This window comes from Homo sapiens, chromosome 1, assembly GCF_000001405.40.
Source record: "Homo sapiens chromosome 1, GRCh38.p14 Primary Assembly".
NCBI lineage: Eukaryota > Metazoa > Chordata > Mammalia > Primates > Hominidae > Homo > Homo sapiens.
The window spans coordinates 89,800,662-89,811,949 of NC_000001.11; the positions used below are offsets into that span (position 1 = coordinate 89,800,662).

The 11,288-nt window shown below is 42.7% G+C and overlaps 1 annotated feature.

Moving 5' to 3' along the window:
• Nucleotides 1,417–1,918: an enhancer, noted in NCBI's record as "NANOG hESC enhancer chr1:90267637-90268138 (GRCh37/hg19 assembly coordinates)". NCBI's record gives its function as "activates a minimal SCP1, AML or CMV promoter by ChIP-STARR-seq in primed H9 embryonic stem cells {active_cell/tissue: H9 hESC(primed)}" and the evidence as "EXISTENCE:reporter gene assay evidence [ECO:0000049][PMID:30033119]".

Here is an 11,288-nt window from a genome sequence, read left to right on the forward strand (position 1 = left end):
GCATATGACAAGCCACATAAGTAGTTCTGCGCTAGAGTTTGACAAACAATCCTGGGAGGAACACTGTGAGGTTACCATTTGTAGCTGGATATTCCTTATTTTTTAGTCCATAGGAGGCTGTTTCCTGGCCTTCTGGTGCAACATCTATAGGAAAATTGATTTTAGGAGGCATTACAAATAAGCCATTTGGCACATGGCCACTTAACAGGCTGCTGCGATGGTTTCGGTTTTGGGTTTTGTTTTGTTTTGTTTTTGAGACGAAATCTCGCTCTGTCACCCAGGCTTGAGGGCAGTGGCGTGATCTCAGCACAGTGCAACCTCCGCCTCCTGGGTTCAAGCGGTTCTCCCACCTCAGCCTCCCAAGTAACTGGGATTACAGGTGCCTACCACCATGCCTGGCTGATTTTTGTATTTTTAGTAAGAGACAGGATTTCACCATGTTGGCCAGGCTGGTCTTGAACTCCTGACCTCAGGTGATCTGCCCATCTCAGCCTCCCAAGGTGCTGAGATTACAGGCATGTGCCACCATGCCCAGCCCTGCTGTGATGGTTTTTAGAGACTGATCTATGGCCCAGTCTGTGGATGCTGTTTGGTGGGGATACTGTAGCTGAGTGGAATTGAAGTCAGTTTCACATATGAACAGAGTAAATGATTGGAGGGAGTAGGCAAAGATAAAGCCCCCATGTATCTCCCCATCAGCTTGCATGCTTTAGGCCTGACATCCCACATCTCCCACTCCTGTAGCCAACTCCATAGGTATTTACTGGATGTGCACCAAGGGCCAGGCAGGCACTCTTAAACATCCCCTTCAATTTCCACAGCCTTTGCATAAACCAGCCCACATTTTAATTTTTATTCTCATAACCACGTTTTGAAGGTAGAAGATACTTTCTCTGTTTACAGTCCTGGAGGATTTACCCTAAATCACAGAGCTGATCAGTGGCTGAGCTGGGATTTGAATCTAGATTCTCTAACTTCAGCGGATTTCTGCAGAAAAGGCAGGTTTGTTTATGAAGGGGCTTATTATTTATGTCATAGATACTAGAGTTTGGTGGGCCTTGACCTGTTATAAAGTGTTTGGTTTCCTAATTACATAAGCAAGAGGATTTAAAATGCAGAAAGAGGCCCTTTCAGTGACAATCTCCTTTCTGGTCCTCTCTGACCCATCTCATGGGATATCACAAAGCAAGAAGCACCTCAGAAAGCAGAGAGGCCCATTTCGATGAGCTTGTTTGGGACAATGTGCAAAGAGGCCCTGATGCCCTTTGTGGAGAGGGAGCACTTAGGAAAGCTTGGACATGACTTTTCTGCTTCCTCACCTGGTGGAGTGGCGGCTTGGCAGCTGCATGGCTGTAAAACACCACTGTCTGGTCACTCTGCTTCTAATTGAATGCACATCACACTAAACATATTGTTTGCAGGAGTCTTAATTTTAAAAACAAGAGAAATGTGGGAGGAATGAGCCGGCTTGCTCCATCACTTTCCAACTCTCTGCACCTGTTCTTCCATGTGATTCTCATTGTCCTCCTCGAGGGACTCCTGTGTAGTCAGGGAGACCAGGCTAGGAAAGAAGTGGAGGGAGGCCCAGAGCTTCTTTTGTCTGTATTGTTTGGCAATCTGAGCTATCCCTTTCTGTTACACAGCTTGAACATGAGAGTTGTTTTTCAAAAGCCAGGGGAAATAGCACTGGACTACTGATATGGAAGTACCTCTGTTGATATGGAAGTACCTCTCCCATCAGCCCTCTAAATGCTTTTGAGATAAAGTGCCAGCTAGCTCCCATGGGGCATTTGCCTCAGTTGCTTACACAAGTCTAACAGAGATGGAAGGGATGGCTGTGAAATCAAAGTGAACAAGCCTATTTAAATCTTCATTACTCAGTCCCAGCAGCACCTACCAGAGCCCACAGCGCTAGCAATGGGCTCAGAGCATCTCACTGGGCTTCCAGCTGTGTTTTGTTTTTATTTTCAAATTATATGATGTGATGCCCTCAACCAGAGTTGAGGACCCAGTGACAAGGAGAGGCTGTCCTGCCACCGGTCCTGATGTTTAGTCTTTACTTGGCAGAGCACAGGGGCGTATGCTGGGTAAGCCGGTGCCAGATCTGTGAGCACCGTGGTCCAGCAGACAGAGAATTCCAAATCCAGAGAATCTAGATATTGGGAGTTTTTTGTATAATCACCCTGTTTTTGTAGCACTGGCCTCTTAAATCAATTAGGATATTGAATTTCTGAGTTGGCTATTTAAGTACATTACCAGAAAAACCTCTAAACAAAGCATGTACCTTAACCTGCCATTCTTACACAGTCTGAGGCCTTCTGATGATTTTCCCATTAACATAACACATTCCTAGAATTAAGGACGTGAGATAAACAGCAGGTCTAAAAAGAATTCCAGGCCGGGCACAGTGACTCATGCCTGTAATCCCAGAGATCTGGGAGGCCAAGGCAGGAGGATGGCTTGAGGCCAAGAGTTTGAGACCAGCCTGGGAAACATAGCAAGACCCCATCTCTACAAAAAATTTTAAAAATCACCCTGCTATACAGATGCATACCTGTAGTCCCAGATACTCAGGAGGCGGAAGCAAGAGGATAGCTTGAACCCAGGAACTAGAGGCTACAGTGAGCTATGAATGTGCTACTGCACTCCAGCGTCGGTGCTGGAGCAAGACCTTGTTCCTAAATAAATAAATAAAATTCCACAAAAGGTTCTAGGAATGAGGTTTTGATTAAATGAAAAATCATTTAACTTTTTTCCTTAGCTACTTTACCCATTAAGAGCTAGAATAAAATTGATTAGAGAAAAATAATAGCACCCATATATTGATGTCTTACTATGTGCCACGCCTTGTGTTAAGCCCTTTCATATATTTCTTATTTAATCGCCACAACAATGTCGACTTCTCTTCCTGTTAATGGAAATATGGCTTAGATTTACCTAAATTTACAGAAGCCACTAACTGGTGGGACTAGGAATAAAACTGACATAAGTCTGTGTTTAAAGCCCTTAATTTCCGTGCATCATTTGTAAAAAGATGACTGGAAGGGGTCTTTATTTTATTTTGAGACAGAGTCTCGCTCTGTCACCCAGGCTGGAGTACAATGGCGTGATCTCGGCTCACTGCAACCTCTGCCTCCCCAGTTCAAGCAATTCTCCTGCCTCAGCCTCCTCAGCAGCTGGAACTACAGGCATGTGCCACCATGCCCAACTAATTTTTGTATATTTAGTAGAGACAGGGTTTCACCATGTTGGCCAGGATGGTCTTGAACTCCTGACCTCAGCTGATCTGCCCGCTTCGGCATCCCAGAGTGCTGGGATTATCACAGGCATGAGCCACTGCAGTGGGCCAAGGTCTTTATTTTTGAACCTTGCATTTTCTATAGCACTTTGTAATTTTCAAAGTATTTTGTGAACAGTATCTTTTCTCGAATCTCTTAATAATTCTGTGAATAAGGCCGAAAAGGCCTCTTTCCCATTTTGCAGATGAAGAAACTAAGGCCCAGACAGGTTAAATGATTGACCAAGTTTCCAGAACTAGTAAATATTGGAACACCAATAAAAATGTAGGTCTTCTGACTCCTGTCCCAGTGTGAGATCCGTTCCTCTCACCACCTCTGCATATAAGCAAAGAACCATGTGCTGGAAGAGACTTGAGTGATCATGGAGTCTACAGATCTCATTTTTAATTTTCAGAAACTAAGATCCAGAATGGGGGCATTCCTTAACCAAGGTCACCCAATTATCCAATAACAGAACTGGCCCCAGAAATCAGACTCTCAATATTTGCCACTCTTTCAAAAAAAAAAAAAGAAGAAGAAGAAGAAGAAATTTGTAAGCAAAATCATCATCATTAAAAAGCATTTGAGGGAAACATTTTGCCAGTTGCTTTGGAATCATGAAAGAGGAAGCTTCAGGATGAAGCATCATTGGTTCCTGAGTTCTATCCTCAACCTGCACAGTATTTACCAAAAGATTTTGTTTCAATAATAAATTTGTTCATAAGTCATTAATATTATGCCTGTAAAGTCATAAAGTAATTTTTCCTCGGTGTTGATGTGTAACTTGCTATTAAAGATGTTTTTATGTAGGCTACAAGAGCCTTCAAAGCACAGTGTGTCTTGCATTAGAAACTTGAACTGTGCAGACAGAATGAGTCATTACAGCATCTGACACTAGAGGGCGCTCCGTGAGAAGGCTGGCTACACAAGCAGGAAGCCTCCTGGAGCAGCTGGAGACCAAAAAGGGAAGCCAAGAAGAGAAGAAATAAACAGTAAAAAGATACAGTATTATCAATGGATCCGATGTCACAAGCCACAGGATGGGCAATGAAAATGGCTGTGTCTGTGTGGGTCTCTGTATTTTGGTTTTGGTTTTGTTTTTGTTTTAATATAGCATTAGTCCAGAATAGGATTTTCATGTGGATACCATTAAATCCTCACAACCTTGAAAAGTAGGTATTATTAATCTCCACTTTATAGGTTAAGAAATCAAGGTTCAGTGAAATTAAGTGATGTGCCCAGGGTCATAAATGCAAAAGTAGTGTACTATTAACTCCTACCAATAGCATTTTCAAAGCAATAAGGCTTTGATTACTGAAGAGTATGTAATAACATCCTATTGTCTAATAAATGCCTTTCAATTGCAGAATTCCTTAGAATTTCTTTAGTTAAAACTGTTATTCCAAAATAAATAAATAAATAAATAAACTGTTATTCCACAACCTTGTCCTTCCATTCTAGCCAGCACAGTAATTTTTTTTTTGTCCATAAATATTTCATTCTGGATTCTCTTAAATGACTTTATTCCAACCTCACTTACTAGAAACATCCTCTTTTCTTCCTCCTCCTCTGAGACCACCTAACCTTCATGCCATAGGGTCTGCATTGACACCTCCTGTGGCCCTTACACCTCTCCTCTCTGATCCTGACTGTAGGGACTTCTTGAACCATAGTAGGTGCCAGATAAATACTGGCTGACAATGGTTCTCAAACCTTAATAGGCATCAGAATCACCAAGGGTGCTTGTCAAACTTGAAGATATTCAGAACTTACCCTAAGAAATTATGATTCTCAAAGTCTAGGATCGTATCCTTGCATATTTAACAAGGATCTTGGCTGATTCTGACATAGGTAGTCTGTGAACCTCATCTTGGCAAAATACTTCTTGTTGCATTCTTCTAATGATATGATTTGCCATTTGTTACTACTACTTGAAACATTTTCTCAAGCTGCCACACTTCTATACATTTTGTTTCTGAAGGGTGGAAGCTCTTAGAGGGCAGAGACCTCATTTTCTGTTCTTTCCTATTCTTCCCTTTCATAGCCATCAGATCCCCATTGTGTTGGCAGTTCCCAGGCACTTCTCTTCACCTACACCATAACTCTCTCCCCATGCCCTTTACCTGTGTAGCTCCCACCCCACTTCATGGCTCAGTCTGGATGGCTCCAAGTGATATTATTGCTCAAGTCCAGGAATGCACTGCTGCTACATGTTCCCAAGGCACCCTCCACCTCTCCCACCAGGGCATGACACACGATGCACACGTCTTTGCCTTCCCTTAGAAACTTTATTCCAACCTCACCCACTAGATACTTGCTGTACCCTCTTTGTGAGGACAGGACCTTTGGTTTTCTTATCCCAACTCTAGGAACAGGGTTCCTAGACATTATCTTATCCCAACTCTAGGAACAGAGCCTGATATTGGATAAGCCCTTAATGATTGTTTATAGATAAGTGAATGAACAAACTGAGAAGAATGATTAAAAAGAGAGAAATACAGGAGAAGAAACACTTTAAAAATTACCTTATTTCATAAAGGGCATGTGAAGTGTGGGGACAATGCCTTTGGGGTCAGAATGGGGCACCTAGGGATGGCCAAGGGGAGCTGAGGAGCCCTGTTTACTGCACTAACTTCATTTTTCCTGTGAATCTAATACAGCTCGACTTAATACATATTTACTGGGAGTCTTTGATGTGAAAGCCACTACGCTGGACACTGGGGAGTCAAAAATATATTAAGACACAGTCCCTGAACTTGAGGGTATGATAATTTAAAGTGAAACCATTTGGTGATCTATATGCCAGTGTGTTTAATAGGAAACAAGAGATGACACTATTCTGCTCTGAGGACAGTTCAAATGATTCTGGGTCTCATAATTGCTACATGATGTAAGGTGAGTCTTAAGAAGCAATGAAGCACAACGGAGAAAAAAAAGCCAGGCTTTAGAGACCCACAAACCCATGTTTAATACTGTAGCTCCCTCCTCTTACTAGTTATGCTACCAGCAGCCTGGGCTGCCTGTGTAACGTAGGTCTAATAATAATAACACCACTTCTGGCACATATTAGCAGTGGTAAGCATGATTTAGCACTGTGCCAGGCACTCTGCTAAGCACTTTCCATGCGTTATCATATTTAATCCTCTCAGCTATCTAAGTGCCACTTTTATTCACATTTTATTACTGAGGAAACTGGCTGTCATAGACTGAAGGTTTGTGAACCCCCAAAATTCGTATGTTGAAGCTCTAACCCCTGCTGTGGCTGTATTTGCGGATGGGACCTCAAAGGACATATTTAAGGTTAAATGAGGTCATAAGAGTGGGGCCCTGAACAAATAGGTTTAGTGTCCTTATTAGAAGAGATACCAGAAGGCCAGGCACAGTGGCACACACCTATAATTCCAGCACTTTGGGAGGCTGAGGTGGGAGGATCGCCTGAGCCCAGGAGTTTGAGACCAGCCTGGACACTATAGTGAGACCTCGTCTCTACAAAAACTTTAAAAATTAGTTGGGTGTGATGGTGCAACTGTAGTCCCACCTACTCGAGAGGCTGGGGTGGGAGGATTGCTTGAGCCTGGGAGAAGAGATTGCAGAGTCATGATTGTGCCACTGCACTCCAATCTGGGAGACAGGGAAAGACCCTGTCTCAAAAACAAAAAAAGAGACCCAGGGAAAACTCTCTCTCTTCACCCCCTCCCCTCCAAGAAAGAACATGTGAGGTTTTTGCACCAAAGACAGGCCTCATGAAGACACAGTGAGAAGGCAGCCAGGTGCAACTTAAAGACAGACCGCTCACCAGACACCCAGACACCAACCCTGCTGACATCTTGATCTTAGACTTCCAGTCTTCAGAACTATGAGAAAATAAATTTCTGTTGTTTAAACCACCCTGTTTATGGTATTCTGTTATGGCAGCCCGAGTTGACTAATACAGCTCAGAGAGGTTAAGTAATTTGCCTAAAGTGACCCAGATATCAAATAGTACAGTCAGGATTTGAACCTGAACCTGAACCTGGCTGATTAATAAATTAGATAGTGTAGGTAAAATTCCTGCATGGTGCTGGCAAATAATAATCCCTTAATAAATGGTTTATAATATACATATTGCACTCCAGAAGTCAGGCCCACAGAATTATTGCTGTTAGTTAGGGTGAGTTACTAGGAGGACGGCTCAGCAAGAGAGCAAGGAGGGCTAGGCTCCAGAGCCTGTGGCATGAGCCAGACACAAGAAAAGAGACACCTCAGCCACCACCAGTGCTTGTGCAACTCCTCCTGCACTGAGCTTCCTTGGACTCAGGAGCTATCACCCAGATCTGTGGAACCCTAACATCATAGGGTTACAAAGGTCTCACAGGTCACCCAGGTCCACAATCTGGTGCCTGCATACCCCTACCACATCTCTGCCAAGTGACAGCTGCTGCTTTAATCTCTCACCTGATGGCCTCTCAGTATGGTTCTCAGGCAGGGAAGGTGGGAGATAGAGCCCAAGTCCCAGAAGTCATCCCTGGATGACACTTTCAAGATCTTCTAAGTCAACCCCATGTGTTCCACATGGTCTGCTTGGAGGAGGAATAGCAGGGACTTAACCTAGGGAGAGGCTGGAGCTTTTCCCTCCCTCCTATAGAATGAGTCATTCCTTCCCAACCCACTTTTCTCATTGTCCTTCCAGGAGGCAGTGAAAAGTTTCACATATTTGGAAATCCAAATTAACACTGATGCAAACAAAAGGGCCCCTAAGTCATTGGGAACCGGTTTGGTCGGCATCACCACGGAGACCTGGGGGGCAGTTGTCAGAGGAGAGCTGGCTCAGATGTCAGAGATGCACAAACTTGCATATGCTCAGTCCACAAGCAACACCCCCGCAGCTGGCATCTAAACCCTTGGTAAAGCTCTTGGCTACAGAGTGCTCGTTGATGACATTTCATCTCCAAGGCTCTCCTTGACTTTCCTTTCACTGATACAAGGTAATGCAGCTTGAAGCCTCCTACTTTAGCTTGCAGCACAGGGGGTCATTAGTGAGGGGTAATGCTGTATTCACATGCTGGTTACCTGTTTGTCTTGTCTTCTCTTTTCTGACAACACACAGCAGGCAAGGCCTTATCATCCTTTGATGAGTAAGGACAGCTATCTTCTTCAAAGGGCTGGAGTCTCAAAATGAGATGGTCCTTTAGATTTTTCAGTCCCAACTCTTTCATGAAATTGTACCAAGATCCTGATTTCCTAAGCAGACATGGGTCAGGAACTTCATTATTGCCCTTTAATAGATTATATGTTAGTAGGTGCTTGATAAAATCCATATTGAACAGGACCTGAATGTGAGTCCATCCTTGGAGCCACTGCTCTGCCCCTGAAACTTTCTCTGTCCTAGCCCTTCAGCTTTCCCTTCCTGCTGGAGTTCTGCCACTCCTGCAGGGCTATGAAATTCAATTGTGAAAACATCTCTCCAGACCTCTTCATCAGTTCTTCCTAACAACTCTAAGCCTCTAATACTTGTGCTTAGACTATTTTTAACTTTTCCTTTCTTTTAAAAAATTACACCAGAGGAGCTTAATGAGCCCTACTTAACTTTTCGTAGAAAAAGAAAATTTGCAGACATTAACCAATAAGTGCGACTGAACACCATGGTTAGCTGGCACGCCTCTGAAAACCTGCCTTCTCCCTGTGCAATACAATAGTTTATTTTTGGACAGCAGCCTCCACACAACATCATGAACACACAACACTGGGGTTTATAATGAACTTAAAAGAAAGTGAAGATTTATGTGAGAGGTTTAGAGGAGGAACTCAGGGTTGCAGAGGGCAGGGTGTGGGAAGGAGGGACGAGTTCCTGGGCAATGAGAAGTCCTGGCTGCCCAAAGCTGCTTCCAGCATGTTGCACCTCCAGATTCTTTATCTTTGCTTTGAATCAGCCAGGAGTATGAATGATATGAAGCAAGTGGGAGAAAATAAGCAAGATTTCAGATTTTTGTTCATTATCATGTAAAACTAACACACACATAGACACGCATACACCACCACCACCACCACCACGAAAACCAGCAACTAGCCAAACAAAAAAGAGCTTGAGCTCTTACAAAGAATAAAGCACTGTGGCAATAAACATTTTCATCATTCCTCCATCCAAACTCAAGAGTCCCTTTGGGTCAAAGTTGATTCTAAGGAAAGGTTCTCAGCTGTCCTGCAAGGCAAGAGGTCCAAGTCACAAATTACAGGACTGCCCCCATTCGTGTCATAGCAGTTAGGACATGACCATTTGCCCTCTGGATTTTAGCTGAAGTATCATGGAGGTCTTTCCAGGCATGAAAGTAAAGCCCTATTCTTAATAGTGCTCGTACCCAACCATGCTATTTGTTCCAAAGTCGCCTGATTACTTTCCCTATTATCACCATGACCTTCTAAATTGGGGCTCAGCCATGCCTTTACCTAATGGGGTTACAATAAACCATCTCTGACCTGGGGTTTGTGAACGCAGTGTGAGGCATGCAAACACAGCCTTATTTAAGTGCTACTGGTGTGTCTAAGGTCTGGGGACCAGAGAGGGAGGAAGTTAGACTTCAGCAGTGCAAGACCTTCCTCTCTTGATAATTAGCCCATTCTCTCTGAACAGTGTTAGTGTTATAATGTACCATTCTTTAGAATTTTTCTTTAGAATCCATATTATTTCAAGCATTCCATGATAACTCAGAAGATAAAAGTGCTTGCTCAAAGCAGGACAAAGTACTGTCTGGCTGTGTTGGCTAAAAGAAAAGATTTTTAAGATGCTAAGAAATAAAGGAGAAATTTGTACATGACAGGAATAATTTTTAAGTTTATTACCATAACAAATTACTTGTGATCAAAATGAGTGTGAAGTATTTATTCTTGATGTATACAACTTTGATTAATTAATCAAAAGGAGACAGGATAAGAAGAGCAATTCTTTTGAGTTGCCACTCAAGTCTAGTGCTCATAATGAAAAAGGCAAAGAGTTTCATGTTTAGACTCTTGATGAGAGGTTAAAAAGTCAACAAACCTCCATCAAAAAAAGCAATTTTCTGAGTTCTTTACTTGCATGTTTGCTAGTGAGGCAAAAGCAGCCAAGGCTTTTGTTTTATGCACAGTGTAAACAGAAATTGTGTAATCCTTATTCAATGGCTCATTGAATTTAGGTTTAGAATGGGCCTCATTGCTTGTCCCATGCTACCTGATAGAATGGAGATGAAGACAAGCTCTGTGCCTGTGCTCATACTGTTCCCTCTGTTGGTAGAACCTTCCCTGTTTTATCCGCTAGGTGAACTTCTGTTCATCTTTTGGGACCCAGCAAAAAACACCATCTCCTCTCTGAAGGTTCCCTTGATGCACCCAAGGCGAAGTATAATCTTTCTATCTGAATTTCTGTCTCGCCTCACAGACTGTGGGCTCATAAAGATGCAAGAATATGCTTTATTGATATGTGCATTTTGAGCACAATGGTTGGCTCACAGTAAGCAAGTACTCAATAAAGGTTATTATTGATCATGTATATAAATAAATGCTTTTTGAAGGCATGCATATATGGCAATGACAAGGAGAACAAATAACAAAAAGAATCGAACATAGGCATTATTTCATAAATTAATAATCACTGATTCATCACTGTGAAAGGCAGTGGGGGAGACTGAAGAAACTTAAGACAGAGTCTAGGTCCTAGTTGGGAGAGTTAAATGAAACCTACATGAAATAGCAGGGAACACAAAAAGCAATATGTGATTGCATCTTACAGTTAATGGTTCAGAGTAATGAGGGTAGGTGTCAGAGCTTTGAGTTCTACCCCTCTCCAAGAGGATTACCCCAATCCAATGTTTACCACTCAAACAGCTGTCAGAATCCTTTTCTGGGTTGTTCCTCACCCTACTTTGCACTTTGTTCTGGATGGTAAAAGGTGCTGGAAATCTAGGCATTTATGTGAAATCTCCTGATTACTAAATATCAGCAACTAATTTTAAAAATCTTAGAACACTGTGTAGTGAAAACACATTTGTAGGCTTTGGG